Raw genomic sequence first — 21,638 nt, 5'->3', positions numbered from 1 at the left:
CGTTCCAGCAGAGCCCTGGGCGATCTATTTAACTTTTGTTTTCTCACCTGTAAGCTGAGACGAAAGTACCCACTTTATAAGATTATTCCAATAATTAGTTGAAATAATGCATGCAGAGAATTAAGCATGGTACTTGTTATTTGTTAAACTAGCTATTAAAATGTGTAAAATATAAAGTATTGTATGGATTTTAGGACAATGCAAAGACTCTTTGCTTGCTGCAATAGTTCGGGGCCCTTTCAGATGGCTAAAGGCAGAATTTGTATGTGTAAATATGGTGTGCTTGTCTCTGCTCTGGATACTGAGGGCTTACCCTGTTATTAAACTTATTTAGTAAATATTGAACTGTCATGAGGCCTAACATTTAGTTCCAGTTATTAGATAAAACATTTGCTTTGAATGGTATTTGAATTGCCAGGTTCTAGATTATTCTGGTTGACAAACTCTTCGTATTTTATAAAGAGGCTAAAATTGGTAAGCTATCACAGAACAGATGTGCCATTTTCAAGGTATATTAAACCATGATTCACTGTAACATTGTTCCTACTGGCAACAAATTCAGAGCAGGCTGGACTTTATTTGGTGAAGAAACATTGAGTGGAAGAGAAATGACATTATTTTATGTATTTACATTTTCAAATTACTGTGGCTTAAACCTGTTCAGCCAACATTACCCACCTTCAGTCTGCTAAATAAATGATTCAGTACATTTCTAATTTACAGAATTTTTTAACAAAAGAAAATGTAATTTGATAGCCAAATCAACGTTAAACATTATACATTTAAAAAACCACAGGCAAAGACACAAACATGATGACACTAACTTTTGTTAAAGTATGCTTACCTATGGTTTCCTCTGAGGCACGTTCTTTCATGCTAAGCTTCCAACATAATATGAAAATGAAGGAGATGCATTTTGCAAAGCAAAACAGACCTTAAGCAAAATATTATACTTCTCAAATTAACACTGTTACAAAGTTTTAGAATTTAATAAGTTCATTAATTTAAAAGTTTGGATGTCTGAGTCCTTCTATCCCAAAACAAGATCTTGGAGGGTCTTCCACAGCCATGTAATACCATGGTCACATGACCCTTTCCAAAATTATTAATCTGAATTTACTATATGAGGATAAATCTATCTTTTTGAAAATATTTAGGAAAATGAGCTTGGTATTTATAAAATGAAGCTCTCTTTGGGTGGTATCCTAAGACACGTCAAGCCAATCAGCCTGTAACTGTGAAAAAAACATTGGTAGGTACAAAAGTGGGGTGGGAGAGGAGTGACTTAACTTTGTTAAGTGATGGGAAAGAAACACTAATAGCATTATCTCAATAAAATGTGATTTAAAAAAATTTAAAATACTAAATCATTGAACTGACAAAGAAATATAAATCATTCAGAAATAAACTCATTAGGTCATCAAATCCTGTTAAATCTGCAATTAGGAAGAGCAAGGTGTACAATCCATACATTTAAACTCACAGGCTCACTTTGCACAACGTCAATTTACTCCTTAATATGTTATTAATACGCATTTTCCAAAAGGATGTATTAGTAAATGGTACACATCTACTTCTTGGCAACATCATATAACCTGGTACAACATAAGCATTCTTCTTATAGTTAAGAAATGTGGATGGTATCAAAATTAGAAAAATAAATGCCCTATTATGTTGTGGTCAGGTTTAAGGCATGTGAATTTTATCTTCATACAAAAGATTAAAATCTAGATATTAAAAAGTAGTGCAGTATCAGTGATGCTGCCTCAGTTCCCAAAATGTCACATCACAAAAATATCCCATAATTGCCTGTAGTTTATTCCTTGGCTTTCCTCTTTTCTCTCTGCATCTTTGTAACAATTTTTTAAAAGTGGAAATATAATTGTTGGCAATGCTAACAGCTGTAGAAATGATTACAAGATGTGGAAAAGCATAACAGGAATGTCAAGAATCTGTTTCTGGCAGTAATATATATGGAACATTGTTCAGGACAAAAGAGGAGAAGGAAGAAAAAAAGGAGAGGGGTTTATCATCTCTAAGAATTTTCAAACTAAACCTCATTGCTTAATAGGAAAAAAAGATTCCATATTTAAAGTTAAGTCACCTCTAACTACTAGCTAAAGCATGACATCACCAGCACTGGAGTCAGCGGAAGTGTGTTTTTGAAGGACAGTGTTGCAGGAGAATCTGGACAGGTTTTAGAGCCAGGAGAGAGAAAATAATTCTACCTCTGACAGTTGAAGGACCTTAGGCAAATCAGTTTACCTCTGCTAGACTACACTCCAAAATTTGGACATTCAAAAATTTGATATTAATAACCACATGAAAGTCTCGTGTTGAGGTGAATATGTATTTGTTGGTGAAAGATATGTTGGTTTTTAAACAGACAGCACTCTGCAATTGTAGGCTATTGTTTTGTTTTGCCAGTTGTCAAATTCTATCCAGCTATACACACTTGTGTGGCCTCCTAATGGTGTTTTTCCAGTGGCTAAAGGTTTATGAATAAGACACTTTTCCTAATGGAATTAACCCGATGCTTTTCTTAAACATGTAACCTTGAGTTCACCGCAAAAAACAATGCTTCGATTAGAGCAATGCATATAATAAAGGTTACCCTCGTTTCTTAGACACTAGACATCATTCACAAAAAGAGAACTGCTTTTGAAAGGGATGTATTTGCACTGGAAAGAATAGTTTTCTACTTCTAATTATAAATGATTTATTGGTGAAAGCAAAACAACAGCCTGTCTGAGAGGCACTTCTATGAGCATCCTCACGTGTGATTTGCAAGGTTGAAGAAGAGGGAAAAATGCCTCAATTGTACCAATGGTGAGAAAACACCCAAAGTACAAAGCAGGTTTCAAAAAAACCATACTCATAACCAAGGACAATAATAAAGCAATGTGTTGACATATACTCTATAAGTCTTCCTCCATAAATAGTTTATAGAAATTTTGTAATTTCTGTAAATGCATCCTATAATAATTTTGCATCTTGCTTTTTTTTTACATTTAATATCAAGTAGATTTCTAAAGGGCAATTATTTGAAAATTATCCCAAATACATGGGGAAATATACATCAAGTGAAAAAATGCAGTGGGTGATAGAGATATCAGGAAGCGCCTCAAATATTTCTCATCTCGTTGGAGAAAAACAAACATGTTCTCATTTAGAATGAGTGGGAGTTACCTAATTGATTTAGGCCTCTATATTTAACTTCTAGTCAAAAAAGGTAGTTCTATCTAGCAACAATATTATGGGGAACAAAAGAAAAAATTAACTCTCTAAATTTGCAGTAGGGTCTTTTCTTCAGAAGTACCAAATCCCATCTATTACCAGCTCCATGCTTCAGGCCTAAAATGGATCTCCCTGAAGCAATGACAGAATTTTTGCCAAGTGACTAGGATATAAACACCACTTTGGTTGCACAGTGAGACATATGCTCCAAAGAAAACTGGTTCAAAAACAGGCAAGTGGGTTTCTACAGAATAAATGAGAGCCCTGTCAATGGCTTCATCTTCAGGGCTTTGTGTCTGTGCTTGCGTGGTGGCTCTTGTTTCATCTATGGATAATGGTGGCACACAGTTTTCATAATTCCTTACATTAATGAACTGCTATAAATTTGTTTTTGGTATTCTAGAGAGTCCTAACTTCAGCTTCTGGGCAATGCTGAGGAGGCACCCTATATTCTAGACTTACCTTTTGCAAGGTGTACTCTCAGCATTGTGGGCGATTTCCATGGGAGAATATTCTATTTAAAGAACTACTGTCCCAGCATAAAACAAAAAATCATTTATGAAGATGCAGGAGACTCGGAAAGCTCTCAATTATTGTTTGCACAAGCACAATGTCACAGCCTCCTTTCCCCATTCCACAAGGGGGTCAGGAAGAGAGTACTCAGCTGTGAGAAAAGACATACAGAAGAATTCATGTGGTCATGAGAGCGAGGACATGGCCGATCCCCCAAGGAGGATGTGTCATACACTTCATGAGCCCAAGAGTGTGCTGTAGGGTCTGAAGGGCAAGATGCTGGTTCACTGATGTAAAGGAGAGGGAAAAAAGCTTCAACCAACTAGAAAAACAGTCTCTATGCATGCTATTTTTGATTTTAAACACAGGTATCAATTCCTTCTCTCAGAGAGTCCATTTTAAAATAGGATACATTTTTAAAGGAATATTTAAAGGACACATTCATTAAAATTTATTTTAAAAACTTTTCAAAAGAAACAAAAGGTATGAATTTTATTTAATCCTTGAGGAAATGGTTCTTTTCTCACACACATAAATCACTCATTTTGTTTTTCTTTATCTCCTTTATTAATCTACATTAGAAAAATAAACTTTTCATACACTAAGAACAAGGAAACCACTCTCAATTGACAAAATGTTCCAATCCAACACAATGATTACTTTCACCTTTAATTTACAGGCAGCCAGATTCAAAATCCTTAAAGTTGCTTAAACTTAAAAATGACAATGACAACCTAAAAGGTATAATGTTGATTGGAACAGACATTTAATTGGAAAATTGATGATTTTCCATTTCCAATTAAATCTCTAGATAGAAATGAAAAAAATTAAAAATCGTATTTAAGAAAAGCCAAATCTTGGGTTGTGAGGTATCTTTTTAAGGATGTTTCAGCAGAAAAAAACAAAGGCTCTCACAATTGTGTAGCTGCCTAGATTAAGTGGGTATCCTGATCAAGGAGATGGGGGATGATTTGGCTTTAGTATTCCAATGATAAAGTTTATAATGAGAATAACATGTTGCTACAAAATCCAGTCTCTTCCTCAGATGCCTTCCACAGAGGGCAGGAAGCTTTGTCAGTTTTGTTTGCTGATGATGCCTGGTTCCGTCAACAAATAACACCTGTCACACGGTGGGTAGTCAATATACATTTGTTGAATAAATATGAAAAAAAGAAATGTACAATATGTTTGTGAAGCCAACTGTGTGTGCATTGCTATTGAGGTACACAAAAAGTCTTTGTTTTAAATTTGAGAATGAGGACTTTCAATGGAATATATCTATAAAAATGAAAAAAAGACATTACTGTCTGGACTTTTGTACAGCAAGAGAAGAAAAACCACTAGCCAAGAGCCAACTCACCTGATAGGCCTGGATCAAGCATGCAGCTGTGGAGAACACCCCTGGGACTCTAACTCTGGCACTCTGCAAGCTGGGTACTTGGGCAGGACAGCAGCAGCACTCATGAACTGGGCAGCACCTGTTGGTGAGGGCTGATCACATGGATTCTCTCATCCCAGCCTTACAATCAGTCCTTCAGGTACATACTTTTTCTGACTTTGCTGATGAGGAAACTATGCACAGAGGTTACACAGCTTAACAAAGGGTTCTCACCTAATGAACAATGAAATGGGATTTTAGCCTTTCTTTGCATCTGGTCTTAGAGCCAATACCCAAGAAGCACTGTACTGTATGCATTGTCTCAGAGAAACTTACTCTTCCTGGGCCTCAGTCTTTAAAAGGTGGGCAGTTGACTTAATAAGAATTAAAGATCAATGATTAAGGTTCAAGGCACTCCAAAATTCTGGTCTTTATTGAAAAGGCTACAGAAGTCTCACCTTAATAATACCCTATAGACTTGATATTCTTGGTTAATTAAATATTGGAAACCAATTTCATAGTAATTGAGGTCAGAAAAAAGTACTCATGACATTTTAGAATATGATGACAAAGCCATAGATAAATTTCAATGCACCTGTAATTACTTAAAACTGTTATAGCATGCAATGTGTTACCACAACAGCCAGAGAAATACTAATTTACTCAGCCTATTCTTCTAGACCAGTAAACACTAGGATTAAATAGATATTTTCATTGAATTTGTTCTACCCTTCATTGCCATTTATAGATAGCTTACTTGTCATAGATTACTTTCTAATTGTTTTATGTTTCCTAACTAGCCTGCAATACTTTGGCAAGGACCTCAAACAATAGTAGACAGTAGGTGTAAAATAGATGGCTACATTGAACAGATGACTAAAAGGATGCCTCCTAAGTACCTATATCTTGAAATATATATTATTGTGCCTTGCTTTCAATTTGTGATTTTAAAATCTAGAAATCACCTGTTTTATGTAATAACAATAAAATCCTTCTTTGTTGAAAACATGCACAAATAAAGTTTACAAGCTCAAAAAATTAAACAGCAGTAACGGTCAAGCTTTCCAACAATAAAATACATTTTGGTAAGGTTTTCATTTTACAAAAACTCAAAATAGCTTTATGAGTTCACAAAATAATATGATATTTTTCAAGATATTAACATATTCTTATACCGGAAGAGCATAGAATAAAATTTACTTGGAGATTGAGCATTTGCTTCTTTAAGAAATACTTCTTTTAGTATTTTTACTTTAATATTATGAAAGCTACATAATTACATTCAGATTCATTAACTACTCCAGTAGTTAATTTTTAAAACTTATGATGAATAGTTTTGTTTAAAATATATAACATTGGTAATATGCAAATCTGAATCTGTAATAAAGAAGGATTTGCATTCCTGATTTTTTTTTCTGATACAACCAATGACAAAATAACTAATGGTTCCACAGAGGATAAAATGTCTCAAATCTGTTGGTTCTGAAGGTGAAGCGAGATTTTTGTACTGATACCGTGTATCACTGAGATACCAGGAGGAAATGGAATTAAACTCAGATAGTTCAAATGGAGAGATTTTAATGAAGGGACGACCTACAGAGGTGTCGGCAGGGTTGGGGGGAATCAGCGAGATATGCTTAGAACCCACCGACTGGCAAACCTCCCCCTGAAGATGGAGAAGGAGGAAGGAGTGTTACTGGAATGAGAGCTTGAGTCCAGGGGAGGAGGATGGGCTGCTGAGGAGGCGACACCATCCTGAAAGAAGAATCCTCTGCCAGAGGCTTTTCAGGGTCATTTCTTCACACTCTCTGCAGGGAAGCACGGAGACAGCAGGAAGAAATATCCTAACCTCACTCTCTTCCCTCTACAGGTGCTTCCATTGGCCAAATCCACCCAGAGGCCAGTTGGTGGCGATCAGCTTCCAGGGGCAAGAGGAGGGAAGAGGAGGGCAGAGACTGGCTTCAGGGGTGGGGGAGCATGCACATTAGGGGCTCAGTTGTTCAAGTACCTGTCACTGAGGCCTAATGAGGGTGGGAAGACCAAGCATGCTCCTCTGATGTAATTTCTAAGAAATCTACCAGAATTAACATTTGTGGATTTTTCCATTTAATGAATTTTTAAAAAAATACCCGCCCTCTCAGCCCCATTTCTCATTTATTTACCTCTCTTCAAGTGGTATTTAAATTTCTTCTTTCATTTTCCTTCTGGTAACAAAGAAGTCTGTGGCTCAAAAGATGTTTCTCTAAGACCCCATCCTATTAGGTCTCTGAGCTGTGGGAAGTATTTATACAATTGCTTGTGAATATAAGATCCAGGAATTTCCCTAAGATCCCTAACAAAATTGGTGATAAGTAGTCCCACATGTTAATCCAGCCACCCACGGATGACAGCACTTACCATTTCTTTGATAAATGTCAAATGCATTTGAAGTACCTACCTGAAATATTTGTTTAAATGCTATCTAATCTATTAATTTTATATATGTGTGAGTCTGTTTTGTATACCTTCTGATTATAGGATAAATGTAAATAAATCCAAAGAGTAATCAAAGCTACCACTTTCAAGAAGCCTTCTTTGTAGAACCGGAAGAGTCTTAAATAGGCTTTTCAGGTATGCATCTCTTATTATCGCTGAACTCCAAGTCCTGCAAGGCAGGCATCATGTGTGGGTCACCTTTACAGTAGGCACAGGCCTTAAAACAGTGACATGCACATTGCAGGCACTCCATAAATGTTTGCTGAATTGGCTAAACCTTGGTTTGTTCCCATAATCAACCACCACAAACAGCACACAGATAATTACTTCTTGGAAAGATTCCAACTAGTGTTTGATGTTACCTACGTGGTTTTTCTCTCAAGATCTTAAGAGCAGCTCTGTAGGATTACATTATTTTCTGTTTTTTTTTTCCTTTGACCTTAATGTCATCTACTTCAATAACAGCTTCATACAAAATTCCTACCAGCACATACCACAGCAGATTCAAGGCCTTGTTTTAAAAATGGTGCCAGCTTCTCTTAATTTGGAAGATATATTGTCTCTCCTGAACATGGGCTAAGAAAATGTATAATTTGGTATTAACATAAGAGCTGAAGACACTTTAAATGCATTGTTTCATTTTTATAAGATAAAAAAAATTTTAAGAATCAAAATGTTATCAACAGACTTGTCCTTCATTAAAAAGTAAAACTGCATTTGCCTACATTTTATGAAAGTGTCCAATTATGAACAATTTTGAAATGTAACTTTTAAAAATGTAAACAGCAAAAATGTTGTATTTAAAATAAATCTGGAAAGGCAGAAAAACAAAAAATACCCAGAAGACAGAGTTTTTGGTGAAAGTTAAGATATTTCATCTTTGAACAACTTAGAATCTTTCCTGCATTTTATAGTCTAGTTCCAGGCATTAATTTGAAATAACCTTGGAATCCTAAATCTAACACCCTTCGGAACAAAGTAGCTTTTCTCTTCTGCTTTATGAGCAAATGGACTAAATACTAGGGAATGGTACTGTCTGGGCCTTTGAACCAAGATTGAAAGAGATGAAATCCTATATGATATGTATAAACATTAGAGAATCCATTTTGATTTAATAAAAGGTTGAATTTGTTCTATATCCTGTGAGAAAATGGTTCCCTTTTCCTGAAAATGTTACCTCATTCCAACAATAGAAAGTTGGTTTTTTTCCAGGGTGTGGTGTTGGCGGGGGACAGAGTTGCCATGAATATGGCATCTATGAAGACTGCTGTTATATTCATTTCTCAAAATGCACTGTGGTAGGAAATTCAGAACGCAGTGAGAGAAAATAAATGTTTGACTTCAAAATATAAGGCCGCATTTAAAGCAGAAGGTAAAGTATAGAACAGTTGACAGTATAAATTCTTTATCTGCAATCTTGCAGTTCCCTAAATCTCTGTAACACATCACTTTTAAAAGCCTCAGATAAGTGGTTCTATAATAATTTACCAATAATTCAACCCCTCAAAAGTCTTAGCAAGTTAAACCTTATAATCTTACATTTTAGAAATGACCCAACTTGATCCTTTTATTCTTCAGAATATCTCTCTCAAATTTTCATTTGTTTTTCATTAATTGATGAATAATGAGACATTTTAGGTACCTGTCCACAAAGAAATGAAATTTTCACTTTCCAGGAACCTAACAAATGAAAAGATAGAAATCAATTCCAACAGAATATTACCAAAGAAATCTTTTAGAATGGACTGTTAAAATTATTTATTTGTATTTATCTGGCTCTACTATTTGTGGTACATTTCCACTTCAAAGCTAAACCTCAAATAACATCATAGTGAGTGGTTGACTTCATGTTTAACTGAGATCTTGAAGACTGAAAAAGACCACGACAAACACACATCTATTTTCTTGGCTACTGCATCCGTGTTCATCACCATTCTGATAGTCTGCAATGTATTGCAGCTCACCCTTTGGGAAGGACTAAAGTAGACATCTGTTTGTTCTGCTTACTCAGCATTCCTACCCTAATTTTCCTTTGGAGAACCCCTTTATTCTAGACCACGTGAAGCTAATGCCAAACCCCATTCCAGGGGATGCACCTGAATCCAACCTCCATCATCTAAACAGTGCCTTCTCCACGTTCAGAGAAGAGCAAGTGACTCAAACTGCCCTCATAAGAACAGACCTGGGACTTCTGCTGCAAATATTGAAGAGTAAGTACTCTTTTTTCTTGCTAGGACTAAGCTGGTAGTACCTTCTATGAGGCTATCATATGGAAACAACTTGTCTGAAAATGAAGCCACAACTAGAAAACAGATCCTGGTAACCCGGATTGATGGATCCAGCCCTACCTTAAATGGCAAGACCTAACCCGAGGCTTTTTGCATCAACCAATAAAGTCCTTAAGCCAGTTTGAGTTGGTTTTGTCACTTGCAGCTAAAAGAATTCTGACTCTAACAATGTGACAATAGCAAAAATAAACATAACTGCTTTTGAGGTTTCTAATGGATTTTCCTCCCTATATACATGATTTCATTTAATCCTCACAATTCAGGAAAGCACATATCTATTAACATTAAATTAATATTCATTATTTTGAACACATGCTATGTGGATAAGGGATGAGGAAAGCCAAGGAAGTAATCAACGTGAAATCTCACTTATATGGGAGGGAAGTGGAGGTTACATATCTCAGGGCACTTAACAGATATCATCAAATGAAAGAATAAACAGTGTGTGGGAGAGGCAGTAGGTGATTCTTCATCAATTCCTGGATGAAAAATTAGGAGATAATGAACTCCGAACAGGCAGCCTAATGAGAATGGCTCAAGCAACAGGACATAGAGAGGGAGTTAGGTTAGACATGGGGTTCTTGGGAATTTTCACCTCGTGGGGGGGCGGGGGGGTCGTGCAGCTGTTGTCAGTGGGAAAGGGAAAAAGGAAAAGGCTGAGTTTGGAAGGCAGGGAGGGAGGAGACAATGTGAGTCAGTGAAAAAGGGCCCTTAGAATGACAAGTCTGGACCAGAGAGAGGCTAAGACTGAAAATACAAGTTGGGTAACCACTGGCATACAGATGGCAGTTCAGGCTTGGGCACTGCCCACCAGAGCCTCAGCATGAAGAGAAGAGGGGGAGGCTGGCCACCACCTCCCTCTAGGTAATCGTCATCCTGATGCTGAGCTCCTGAAAACAGGCTCTTTCACTCGCCCCATCTCTTGCTCTTGATTGCAACCCGGCATTCAGGAGGCACCCTGTAATATCTGTGGAGTGACCGACAACACAGCGCCAGGGCACTGAGAAGATCCCAGGGCGCCAGGGACTGGTTCTACAAGGGTGCCCCTCCCGGTCCCCTCCAGCGCGCCGCCAGAGCTGCCAGTCTTGGCTGCTACACGGGAGGCAGCCTCATTATGCAGCTCTCACCTCTTAAATTAGTTCATGCTCTCACATTAGGTGTAATCACAGCTTGCAACGCTTTCTGGGGATGTCTCAGAAAGATCTGAGTTGAAAAAATATTTTTGTGTCATTTTAATTTAAAGTAAAATTGCTGCTTCTTCCCCGCCCCTTTCTTTCCTCCTGGCCCACCCAGCGACCCTGGCCGGCCGTGCTCAACGGGGGCGGGGGTCGGAGGTGAGATTTCCTCCACATAATTCCTTAAACAGCTATCAACTAAGTCTCAAAGAAAAAAAAAAGAGATCTAGAAGCAGAGACGTGGCTGCTGGCGATCCCAAAGCTGGTGTTCGCTCTTGGGGGAGAGCGTACCCTGGGGGAGGCCGGGAGGCCGGGCCAGAGGCTAGCCCAGAGGCAGAGGGCAGGAGCGCTCAGCCGGCGCCCCGCGTCTCTCCAGCTCCCGACGCTGCGCTGGCTCCGCTGAGCACGCCAGGATCAAGGTCGCCTGGTGGGGACCGGAGCGCCAGGAGCCTGTGGGAAGCGTTCCAGCCGGCCTCTGACTGGGATCCGGCGCCGCGTTTCTGCTTTGGACTTGACTGACAGGTCCCCCCGCCCTCCCGCCGCCCTACTACCAGCCTGGGTTCATCCTTCAGGGCTACGTCTACCGCACCCGGGCTGGAAAGCCTGGAGCGCGCCCTTCCTCTCCTCATCTTCTCAGCTCTCCTTTCTCCCTGCCACTTGGCAAAGCTGCATTTTGACTTTCACGTTTTGGACTACGTGTGTGTAGTTCCAAGTCCATGCGTGGCACGAAAATCCACTTAGGGTAAAAATTATTCTCGAAAAATCGCCCATCTCAGGATCTGGTGTCTACACTCAAGGCTAGGAGGTGCAGGTACGGGTGCGTAAAGCATGCCGTAAGGGTGCACAGTAAATAAAAAGTACGGATGCAAAATGTAAATTTTAAGTGCAAAACAGAAAAGCAGTACTCGTTGCCGCCCCGCACGCTGGGTTTTAAGGGGCACGAAGGTGGGCCTCGGCTGCTTTTGCTCAGCCCCGCGTCCTCAGCGCCCGGCCCAGTACCCGGTACTCCGTAGGGGTTCAATGATCTCCCCTGAATAAGTGAACGAATTAACAAATGAATGAATGACCGCTCGATCCGACCTCCGCGGCCGGCAGAGCAGTCGCTGGAGAGGCGGGAGAGAGCGAGAGGCCAAGCTCCACCATCGCGGCCGCCGGCTGGGGCAGAGGGACACGGAGACACTCGGCGCCCCGGCTCCGCACCGAGTCCCCGCGGTGAGTGCCCGCCCAGCAGCTCCCGGGCACCACGTGCGCCCGCCAGAGCCGCGCAGGCCCCGCCCCGCCGCGCGCGCACGCGCCCTGCACCCCGGCCGCCGGGACCCTGAGCCAGGCTCGCCCAGCGCGCCGGCTGCCCTCGCGCCCGCGCCCGCTGGGGGGCGCTCCCCTCCCAACGGGCGCGCCCACAGGCGGGCAGGCGACTCGCAGCCTCCAGCGATTCCACTCCCGACCCCGGGGCGCGCCGCCTCCTACCTGAGGGCCGACGAGTGGGGGCGGGCAGGAGGGCCGAGGGAGGCGGAACAGGATCGAGGCGCGAGGCGGGAGTCGAGAAAGCGAGCGGCCGAGGCGACTCTCAGTGCGCGGACGCGGGCGCGCGCCCGCGCTCCCTTCGTCGACTCACGGCGAGAGCCCAACCCTGCTGCCGCGCGCCACCCGCCTCGCCGCGCCTAATAACAACGGCGCCCGGGGTCAGGTGGCCGAGCGCGGACAGCGCCGCCATTGGCTCGGTGGGGAGCGCGGCGCGTCAGGATTGGCTGGGGGGCGTGGCCTCGGCCGGGGCGGGGGCAGGGCCTCGGAGGGAGGCGGGCCGGGAGGCGGCGGGGGCGGGGCCAGGCCGAGGTCCGCGCCTTTGTGCCCGGCGCGCGCTCTCCGCCCGCTCCGGCTGCAGCGCCGGCTGCATCAATAATTCAGAGCGGCGGCGGCGGCGGCAGCGGCGGGTGCGGGCAGGAGGCGGCGGCAGCAGCGGGACCGAGCAGCAGCGGCTATGCATCCAAGTGCGGCTGGGCAGCCGCGGCACCCCTGAGGCCCGGGAGGGGCTCCGGGAACACAGCGCGGAGGGGACGCTAGTCGCGGAGGGGACGCTAGTCCCGGAGTGCGAGGAAGAGGTGTAGTGTCCAGAGCGGCGGCGGCGGAGCTGCGCACGGAGCTGAGGAGGGGGCTTCGGAGCGGGACTGGGACGGGGGGGGCGGCTGGCGCGAGCAGCCCTGGGGGTGGGGGGCGGGGTGGGCGCCGGCGGCGCGATGCTGGGCGTCCTGGAGCTGCTGCTGCTGGGGGCTGCGTGGCTGGCGGGCCCGGCCCGCGGGCAGAATGAGACGGAGCCCATCGTGCTGGAGGGCAAGTGCCTGGTGGTGTGCGACTCCAACCCCACGTCCGACCCCACGGGCACTGCCCTGGGCATCTCTGTGCGCTCTGGCAGCGCCAAGGTGGCTTTCTCTGCCATCAGGAGCACCAACCACGAGCCGTCCGAGATGAGTAATCGCACCATGATCATCTACTTCGACCAGGTGAGTGTTCCTTCCTCCCGCGGCGTGCAGATTGGGCTGGTGAAGGAGGGATGGATGGAAGACCGATGCCCGGTCCTCTCCAAGGGCTCTGCGGAGGCGCGGGGACGACAGTCCGGGACCGATTCCTGCCCACTCCCCTTCGTTCCCGTCTCGTTATAGGTACTAGTGAACATTGGGAACAACTTTGATTCAGAACGCAGCACTTTCATCGCCCCGCGCAAAGGGATCTACAGTTTTAACTTCCACGTGGTAAAAGTCTACAACAGACAAACCATACAGGTCAGCCGACGCCTCGTGCCGGGCCCTGGCCCCGTAGGGGGGTTACTGGCCTCAGGGGTGCTCGGGCTGTCCGGAGGTGGTAGGCAGAAGTGGCGGCTGCATGTACTTCGGGCTGCTTGGAGGGACAGATAGCGGGGCCTCTCAGTTCTGTGGCTTCAACTGTCCTCTGCTTTCCCTGTCTCTGGCTCTTGGGATCCAGCCCCATCCCCCGAGAGACAGAATTTTCTGCTTCTGCCTTCCGGGCCTCTCCGAAGGGTTCCCTGGATTTCAGGGACTTCCTTGTAACGGCTGTTGTTAGCGCCCCAGACAGCTGCCGCTTGGGAAGCCTTCCCGGACTCCCCAGGAAGCACCGCGACAGTACACCCTACCCCTTGCCCCGGCTCAGAAGCCTGCGATGCGGCTTGCGTGCTTGTCTTCAGCACCACGGACGGGGCCCCCGTTTTCTCCCACTTGTCCCCAATCCCCACCCCGTGCGGACTGTGGGTTTTTGAGCTAGCAGCATTTAGCCCCGGAGGGTGAGGGGTAGAGAGAGGAGGGAGGGAGGGGGCGTAGTGCTACTCTCTCCCGGCTCCAGCCGTGTCCCAGCAATCACTCGCCGGCTCTCCGGGTCCCCAAAGATGTCCAGGTTTCCCTTGGGCGCCGAGAGAGGTGGGACGCACAGCTGGGGAGAGGGCGCGAGGCCCTTGGCTGACGGTGCCACCACAGGGGCAAAACCAGGCGGTGGCGGGCGCGGCTGGATGGGGGAGGGAATTGAGCCCGTGGTTTGGGGAGGAAATACATTGTGCCGCTCGGTGCGAGACTTCTAATCACAAATCACAGTGGCTTCTCCACTGTGTCCTGGCAGCTGGGTCCAGGAGGGATCAGGGGCTTTTTGTTTGTTCGTTTTTGTTTTTCCGGTAGCGCCAGAAGGAGCCTGAGTTGCTGGGTTTTTTTTGTTTGTTGTTTGTTTTTTGAGGCTGAGGGGAAACGGGAGAGAGGTCAAAGGTCTCAGGGCGCTAGAGCCACCTCATGGGTTTATTAAATTGGATCACAGAGCACAGTCGAGATTCGCTTGGCGCGCTCATTTGAGAAACTGGAATAAGAGCAACTCCCGTTTTGGGGACAGGCCCTTCCTGTCACCCAGATGTGTGGTCTTTCGCCCCACTGGAGCCTCAGCAGTAAGCTGCAAAGCCCCTTTTCCTCCATTCGCCCCCCCCACCCCCCACCTCTCCGTGCTTCCAGGCCTTACAGGCTGTTAGCCAAGCAAGGAGGAGGTTCGCTCCACCGCGGCTTCGGTGCCTGCCTAGGTTGCGCCTCTGAAGCGGGCCTTTCTCTTTCTCAGGTGAGCCTCATGCTAAACGGGTGGCCGGTGATTTCAGCCTTCGCTGGTGACCAGGACGTGACCCGGGAGGCCGCCAGCAACGGAGTCCTAATCCAAATGGAGAAAGGCGACCGAGCATACCTCAAGCTGGAGCGGGGAAACTTGATGGGGGGCTGGAAGTACTCGACCTTCTCCGGATTCCTGGTGTTTCCTCTCTGACTGGCTCGTAGCCGGAAGGGAGGCAGGGAGAGGGCGAAGGCAGGAAGGGGAGTGAGAAAGAGGCTGAAATTAAGAGGGCGAGAAAGCAGCACGACTTGAAACTTCCTACATGTTCTCTAACTGTATCTGGGTAAAAAGGTGCGCGCCAGCTGTGGGACAACTTTGTCCATTTCCTTATTAGGAGAAATAAATTTCGCTTAGCTCTGCGCACTCCCATTTCCAAAAATAAACTCGCCTCCCCCATTCCAGTTGCAGTAATCAAGAAAGAGACTGCCTTGTCATTGTTTCTTATCCCCCAACTTCATGTTCCCTGCAATTTATTTAAAGAAACTTTGTATTTCACTACATAATCTGAAATCTTTCTCCCTAGCCCCCTCTGAATCCTTCTGCCTACTGAAATCTGATATATTACACACCCCCAACCTTTTTTTTTTCAGTTTGGAAAGGGGTAAAGTTTTGTTGTTGTTGTTGTTTTGTTTTGGATGGGGAAGGTAGTTTTAATTTGGCAAGTGTTGCTCTTCTTAAAACACTGCTCAAATTAATTAGCTGAAGATACTTAGTATCCTCGGCTGCTTGTTAGCAGAGAAAGGACTCACCTTAGTGGTGACTGGTTTAAAAAATATAAATATATATCATTTGTATACGAAGAACTCTTCCCAGTGGAAACTGGCTGTGTTTCCGTATTTCTATGTTCTATTCGGAGTGATCGTGAAATCTAAGGCTGCTTGATGTTCTGATGCTTGTCAATGCCGTCGTGCTCTGTGACTCCACGAAACGCCAAGGAGCTTCTTCCGGACGCCTCCTCTTCCTCTGTAACATACGTGTGAATAGTCAAGGTTTAATTTTGCTTTAATCTAATAAAGTCGAAGTGGGACTTTTATTTTTCTGAAACAGCTTTCTAAAATCCGCATCTTCCCCAGCTGCGAGGTTGGGGGTCTGGGGTGCCAAAGGGCGAGGTTCCGAAAGGCAGGAGACTTGGGGGAACGCAACCATAGAAAGGCCTGGGCGCGAGGGCTTCCTTGCAAAGCCGGCCTTGCGCTCCTTCCTGCGCCAGGCCGGGGACCAGCACTGCATTCGCCTGTGTTCACAGCTTTGGCGGAAACGTAAGAAATGTGGCCGAAATCTTGCTAGGCCAGGCGCGGCCGCCGGCCCAGGAGCGAAGTTTGATTTTTTTCTTTGCATTCCAAATGCATCAGGAATAGTCCCAGTTTGAGGACCCAAACGACCCTGCCTGGAGCGGCAGACTCCTCAGGCCTTCTGTCCCCGGATGTCTCCCACCGCGTCCCCCTCGCAGTTCCCGAAGCAGCGTATGTTTTATACACCGCCTCTGAATCCGGAGTCCACCCGCCGCATACTCGGGCGCCCAGGACCTATGATTCCGCTCATTCACAGGACTTTATTCAAGAGGTTCGTCCAGGAGTTTTGATTGTATCGGAACATAATGTGAAAGCAAAAATGAAATAAACGACTTCGTTTTAAGTCTGAAAGGCTGACCCAGTTGCTTCGGCAGCGGGGAGGTCGGGAGCCGGAGCGAGTGGGCAGCCTAGGGCGAAGGGCCGGGAGCTGGGAGCTGCAGCCGGGTGGTCCCCTGCAGTTGTGGTTCCTTTCAGAGAAACGTTTTCCTGGCCCAATATTCAGGAATGAATTTTATTTCCTCTAGGGGCGTGGGGAGAAGGGAAAGTTAATAATAGCACAATAAACAACGTTTCTCGGATTTATCCCAGCGGCTGGTTCGAGTTAGAAATTCACGGAGCACGGGGCCTCTGTTGAAACCCGGGCCCGTTTCTTCTCCGCATGCAATCCGGTAAGCCGTGGAGCAGCTCTAGCGGGCGCCCTTGCAGCCCTGTGCCTCCGGGACCCACAGAGATAGATAGGGACTTCGCGAGTGAGGAGTGGACCCGAGTACTTTTCTGTTTCTGCCCAACAGTTTCCCTTCTACTCTGTTAGGCCCCAGGGAAGTGTGAATGAGAAGAAATAAGGGGCCTTAAAGGGATTTAAAGAAAAACTGCTTTTAATAAAGAGACGCGCTTTCTCCGAAGTCTCCTGGTTGGGAAGGAGAGGTCGGAGACAGTTGGAGCCTTTGGCAGCGAAACTAGCTCCACCCAGCAGCTCTGCCGTTGCAGGGCCAGCCCTCCGGGCTTGTGGAGACCCTATAGTCAGTAGGGTGCGTGTAAGCTTGAGGCTGTAGGGCCGCGAAGGTTGGAGAGCCACCGCTCAAGGAAGCTGCCCCTGTACGCTTTGGCGCTCCCTGGGCTGCAGGTGGGTGGGTCACCTCTCTTCCTGAGGGCAAGAACCACCAGGGTTCTGGTCTCCGTGGCTGCCTGTTCTGTGGGGCCACCAGGCTGTGTCCCGGTGGAGTGACTTTGGCAAGTCCGCTATCAGGTCCTAAATTTGCCCATTTATATAAAGACAGGGAGAAATCTAAACACCTCTCAGAGTTCCTCCTGCTCTGTGGATCCAGCCCTCCTCTGCTCCCAGACCGGGAGTCTGCAGATTCTTTTTCCTGGGTGAGTGAGTCCTGGCTGCAGCCTGTGCTTACCTGGCTGCCAAGTGGCAGCTCCTGAGTGCTAAGCCTCGGGCTAGGGTGCAGGCCAGGGGAAGCCTGTGCATCCTGGAACTGGGACTCATTCCTGAGCCCTAGCTCTGCAGCCTGGAAAGTGAGTACAGTGGGAGTGAATTGTCCCCAAATTCGAAGAAGAGGGGTTGATTTTCCTTTGATTCTGCTGTAGTTCAGCAGACCTCCTTCCTGGGAAAGGATCCCTGCCTCCCACAATGTCCGAACCTAGTATCGGAGAACCTTCTTGATTGGGCTCTAGCCTCCCTCTTCTTTCTCCCTCTTCTTTCTCCACCTGCTGACCCCTTCCCTTGCCATCTGATGATTCCACCTCCCATTGTTGTCTTTATGCCTCCACACCTGCTGTTCCTGATTGAAGTTGAAGCACCCCTTCTCTACTCCGCTTTGCAAAATCCTATCCTGCTGAGGACCCAAGAAGTCCAGCTGAAAGGCTGCCTCCCCTGGGAAGATATTCTACCCACACATACAGGCATTGCTCCCCGAGGTTCAACACCCCTTCTGCACCTTCCAACCAGGCCTTGTTTTGTGCTGGTTGGGAAGGGAGACATCTGGGGCTGAGCTTGTCTCTTACTCTGTGTGGGTTCCATGGGGCAGAGGCAGCCCACACAGCCCTTAGCATGCTAACCTGGCGTCCACGCCCCAGAGGGCCTGGGGAGATGTGGGGCTCCATATCTCTCAAACTGCCCTCACCGTCAGGCCTGAGCCTCCCAGTGGCCTGAGTGGGGCTGTGGATAGCTCTCCCCAGGGACCTGGAGGTTCGAGGCCTTAGGGTCCTGGCACATGCGGTTGGGCCACCTCCCTCACCTCTGGGGTGAAGGTGAGGTGAGTGTTACTTCTGCTAGAGGCAGGGGAGCCACCTTCTGAGCATTGGGCTTCAGCTGGGAGGGAACCAGAGACTTGGAGACTAAGAGATGGAAAAGGAGGGGCACTAGGTAGAGACTACTTGCTTTCCCCCAGCCAGAGGCTAGGAAGGGGACCGATTCAGAAACCCACACCTCACAGTGGAATCCTTTCATGCTTAGAATCCTTTGGGCCCCGCCTCTTGCTTTCATCTCAAATAAACCCCTTCAGAGCAAAGCCTGTAGGGGTTCCAAAGCCACCCCTTCATTCAGCCTTACCCTGGTCCCAAAGGCTCCTCCCCAGCCCAGGTCACCTTGGTCACCTCCTCCGGGAAGCCTTTCATGCCTTTCTGCTCTGGCCTCCCACTTTGGAGTGTGGCCTCTCTTACCAGCCTGCCTCCTCCCTCCCCACACCCCGTCAGTTCTCCCAGGGCAGAGGCTGTTTCCTATTCTGCGCAGCGTTTCCGGCACCCAGCCAGGCTTAAAGGTACTGTGAGGGGAACTCAGGGAGGCTTCTAGGACCCAACAAGCCCAGACCTGGCTTCTCCGCCCGGGTTCTCCACACCGCGCTAAGCGCCCCGGGAGCCGCGCAGGCGAGGAGCCGAGGGTGATCACTGTGGTGTCTGCTGTCTGCGGAGCAGCGCTGGGTTGCGCTGGGCCCCGCGCCTGCCCCCCAGCTCGCTTGCTGCCCGGCCGCCGCTTCCACCATTAGCCGAGCTGGGAGCATGCCTTCCAAGCTGCACTGGAGCGCTAATGCTCAGAGCCCGGGCGCATCCGCTCTTAATGAGAACACAATTACCCAGATGGAGAGGGAGCCTCACCCCTCTCCTTAATTGTTGCCTTAATGAGGTGGTGGTGGGGGATAGTGCGGCGCGGAGGGAAGGTGTGGGACTCTCCCACAGATTGCAGGTTGGGTCCTGGGGCGGGGCGGACCCAATGGAAGGCTAAAGACCCTGAACTGCGGACGTGTGCCCTGCACTTGGCCTCTGGCTTCATATGAGACCTTAGAATACTCTCCCCGAATACGAGCCTTACTTTTTTTCAACTCACAAATGCGAGGGGTGGGCTAGAAGACTTCTAGTGTTACTTCCAGGAGGTCTTACTTTCTGATCAGTGTCGGTGTCCAGCCACCCATCTCCCGCAGGGGCTGGGCCTAGTCACCTCCACAGGCTTTCAAACAAAACATTGAAACCTAATACTGACTCTGGGTGGGGAAGTGGGCAGAGAGAGGGGGGTAGTGGTGCCCCGGAACCGAAGGTCAAGCACAGAGGGAAAAAGCTCAGGCACAGCTCCCTTTGAGCTAATTCCACGGAGAAAAAAAAAGGCGGGGGCGGGGTGGGATTGCCCAGGGGGGATTACAAAGATCTCTCAATCTCTTTGCATAGCGGATACATACACACTCCCCGAGAGCCTCAGCGTCCTCACATTTCAAATGGGAACAATAATGCCTTCACAACAGGGTAGTCGTGAAGACTATGCTAAAAGGTCCAGAAAGTGCTCACCACTGCCTGACACATAGTAGGTGCTGAATAAATCCAGCAATACCAAGGAGCGATCGACACCTGGCGTATCCCACAGTCACAGAAACAGGACATATGGGAACATCTGGGTAATCCCAGCAGCATCAAACAGATGCGAAAACTGAAACCAGAGAGCAAGCGAACCTGAATGGTGGATGTAGGAAAAGGACCCTGTGTTCTTTCTTGTTCCTGCACACTCATCCCATCCTCACACACATCAACCACAAGAATAGGAGATTTTACCCCCTAAATATCTTTCGTCTTCATCCCTTTGCTTGTATATTTGCGTCGACCACTGTGGATGAATGTTCTCTGCGTGTCTGCAGGCTCTCCCATCAGACTAAGAGCTCTGTTGGCATGTCTGTGTCCCTGCAGAGGGTGAGCCCTCCAGGGTGGGAACTGTGTCTTCCTCATCTTGCCTGGCCCTGTGCCTCCTACACAGTGCCTGGCACAGAGCAGGTGGCCTGTGATCATGTCATGAGCTAACCCAAACTGTGTCTGGCACAGTTGCAGGATATGGACACAGCCAATGAAAGTGCCCTTCAGGGGACTTCCTGGACCTCTCAGTCCCTCCCGTCTCCCCACCCCCTATATCACTAACAGGAACAAAGCTGGAATGGAAGTGCTCCCAGATCCTGGGCAGAGACAGAAACCGTTCTAGGTACCTGCACTTGCTTTTATCTGTTCTTCACATTTCAATCTGAGCCTAGCCTGTCCCCAGCAAGTCCCAGCTGTGATCCTGAGAAGGTAGTGAGCAGGGACAATGAGAAAGAGGCCAGAATCAGATGTATGGGCTGGCATTTGGATTTGTTGCTCGGTCTTCTTACTGGGAAAATGCTTTGCTGTTCATAGATGAGGCTGCCTGCACTTTAGGAGGTGGCAAGGAAACACAACGCTGCTGATATCAGGAAGGAGAGCCTCGTGATTCTAAGCAGAGGTTTTCTGGTTGTGTGGCCACAGCCCAGAGCCTAGGGAGATCTTTGTTCATCTTGCTAAGCTCCAAAGACTTCAAGGAAGGGGTATAAGGTGAGGGATCAGGGTGCCTCATCTGAGCAGACTCCAACCTGACCTCAGTGCTCTATTTGAGCACATTCCTATACCCTGTACCTCATTGGCAAAGCCCTCCCTGACCCCTATTCATTAGCTTGTCCTCTGCTGACCACCTGAACTCTCCTATTCAGATCACGCCCTGCCCACATCTCTGCTGCATGCTAAGCTCTAAGAGGATCAGGCCCTCATCTGCAGGCTCCCTGCAGCGTGCCCAATGCCTAGCTCAGTGCCAGGGGTGGTAAATGCTCTTTCATTGTTCCTTGAATGCGTGAGAAAGTGAGCATATGACTGC

General features: G+C 47.0%; 1 protein-coding gene and 1 long non-coding RNA gene across 20 annotated transcripts, besides 7 other annotated features; one reads left to right on the top strand and one right to left on the bottom strand.

The window, feature by feature from the left end:
• Positions 1-557: 557 nt before the first annotated feature.
• On the bottom strand, positions 558-12,704 carry SYNAGE (synapse stability regulating cerebellar lncRNA). 19 transcript variants are annotated; one of them, XR_007065067.1, is made up of 5 exons: positions 12,534-12,704; positions 9,143-9,283; positions 7,291-7,399; positions 5,111-5,362; positions 558-5,028 (listed from the first exon to the last, which is right to left on the bottom strand). It is a non-coding gene; the product is annotated as a synapse stability regulating cerebellar lncRNA (long non-coding RNA). The 19 variants fall into 19 exon arrangements; XR_001752147.3 differs by having other exon boundaries at positions 558-7,046; XR_001752150.3 differs by having other exon boundaries at positions 558-6,936.
• Positions 12,275-12,374: a silencer, noted in NCBI's record as "silent region_7460". NCBI's record gives its function as "represses an Ori minimal core promoter by ATAC-STARR-seq in GM12878 lymphoblastoid cells {active_cell/tissue: GM12878}" and the evidence as "EXISTENCE:reporter gene assay evidence [ECO:0000049][PMID:35858748]".
• Positions 12,745-12,854: a silencer, noted in NCBI's record as "silent region_7459". NCBI's record gives its function as "represses an Ori minimal core promoter by ATAC-STARR-seq in GM12878 lymphoblastoid cells {active_cell/tissue: GM12878}" and the evidence as "EXISTENCE:reporter gene assay evidence [ECO:0000049][PMID:35858748]".
• On the top strand, positions 12,928-16,849 carry CBLN1 (cerebellin 1 precursor). The gene is made up of 3 exons (NM_004352.4): positions 12,928-13,564; positions 13,724-13,843; positions 15,165-16,849. The coding sequence occupies exons 1-3, from the start codon at positions 13,301-13,303 to the stop codon at positions 15,360-15,362; spliced, it is 582 nt and encodes a 193-aa protein (NP_004343.1). The 5' UTR covers positions 12,928-13,300; the 3' UTR covers positions 15,363-16,849.
• Positions 13,207-13,824: an enhancer, noted in NCBI's record as "H3K4me1 hESC enhancer chr16:49314853-49315470 (GRCh37/hg19 assembly coordinates)". NCBI's record gives its function as "activates a minimal SCP1, AML or CMV promoter by ChIP-STARR-seq in naive H9 embryonic stem cells {active_cell/tissue: H9 hESC(naive)}" and the evidence as "EXISTENCE:reporter gene assay evidence [ECO:0000049][PMID:30033119]".
• Positions 15,902-16,426: an enhancer, noted in NCBI's record as "H3K4me1 hESC enhancer chr16:49312251-49312775 (GRCh37/hg19 assembly coordinates)". NCBI's record gives its function as "activates a minimal SCP1, AML or CMV promoter by ChIP-STARR-seq in naive and primed H9 embryonic stem cells {active_cell/tissue: H9 hESC(naive and primed)}" and the evidence as "EXISTENCE:reporter gene assay evidence [ECO:0000049][PMID:30033119]".
• Positions 16,427-16,953: an enhancer, noted in NCBI's record as "H3K4me1 hESC enhancer chr16:49311724-49312250 (GRCh37/hg19 assembly coordinates)". NCBI's record gives its function as "activates a minimal SCP1, AML or CMV promoter by ChIP-STARR-seq in naive H9 embryonic stem cells {active_cell/tissue: H9 hESC(naive)}" and the evidence as "EXISTENCE:reporter gene assay evidence [ECO:0000049][PMID:30033119]".
• Positions 18,007-18,532: an enhancer, noted in NCBI's record as "H3K4me1 hESC enhancer chr16:49310145-49310670 (GRCh37/hg19 assembly coordinates)". NCBI's record gives its function as "activates a minimal SCP1, AML or CMV promoter by ChIP-STARR-seq in naive H9 embryonic stem cells {active_cell/tissue: H9 hESC(naive)}" and the evidence as "EXISTENCE:reporter gene assay evidence [ECO:0000049][PMID:30033119]".
• Positions 19,059-19,584: an enhancer, noted in NCBI's record as "H3K4me1 hESC enhancer chr16:49309093-49309618 (GRCh37/hg19 assembly coordinates)". NCBI's record gives its function as "activates a minimal SCP1, AML or CMV promoter by ChIP-STARR-seq in naive and primed H9 embryonic stem cells {active_cell/tissue: H9 hESC(naive and primed)}" and the evidence as "EXISTENCE:reporter gene assay evidence [ECO:0000049][PMID:30033119]".

This window comes from Homo sapiens, chromosome 16, assembly GCF_000001405.40.
Source record: "Homo sapiens chromosome 16, GRCh38.p14 Primary Assembly".
NCBI classification, from domain to species: domain Eukaryota; kingdom Metazoa; phylum Chordata; class Mammalia; order Primates; family Hominidae; genus Homo; species Homo sapiens.
Note: the sequence above shows the minus strand (reverse complement) of the source record. Positions and strands in the feature narration are given on the sequence as shown.

Bases quoted from the DNA above. Each gene is read 5' to 3' on its own strand.
- CBLN1 (NM_004352.4), top strand. From the start codon at position 13,301: ATGCTGGGCGTCCTGGAGCTGCTGCTGCTGGGGGCTGCGTGGCTGGCG. The intron at 13,565-13,723 runs GTGAGTGTTCCT...GTCTCGTTATAG, and splicing joins TGATCATCTACTTCGACCAG to GTACTAGTGAACATTGGGAA. The intron at 13,844-15,164 runs GTCAGCCGACGC...TCTCTTTCTCAG, and splicing joins ACAACAGACAAACCATACAG to GTGAGCCTCATGCTAAACGG.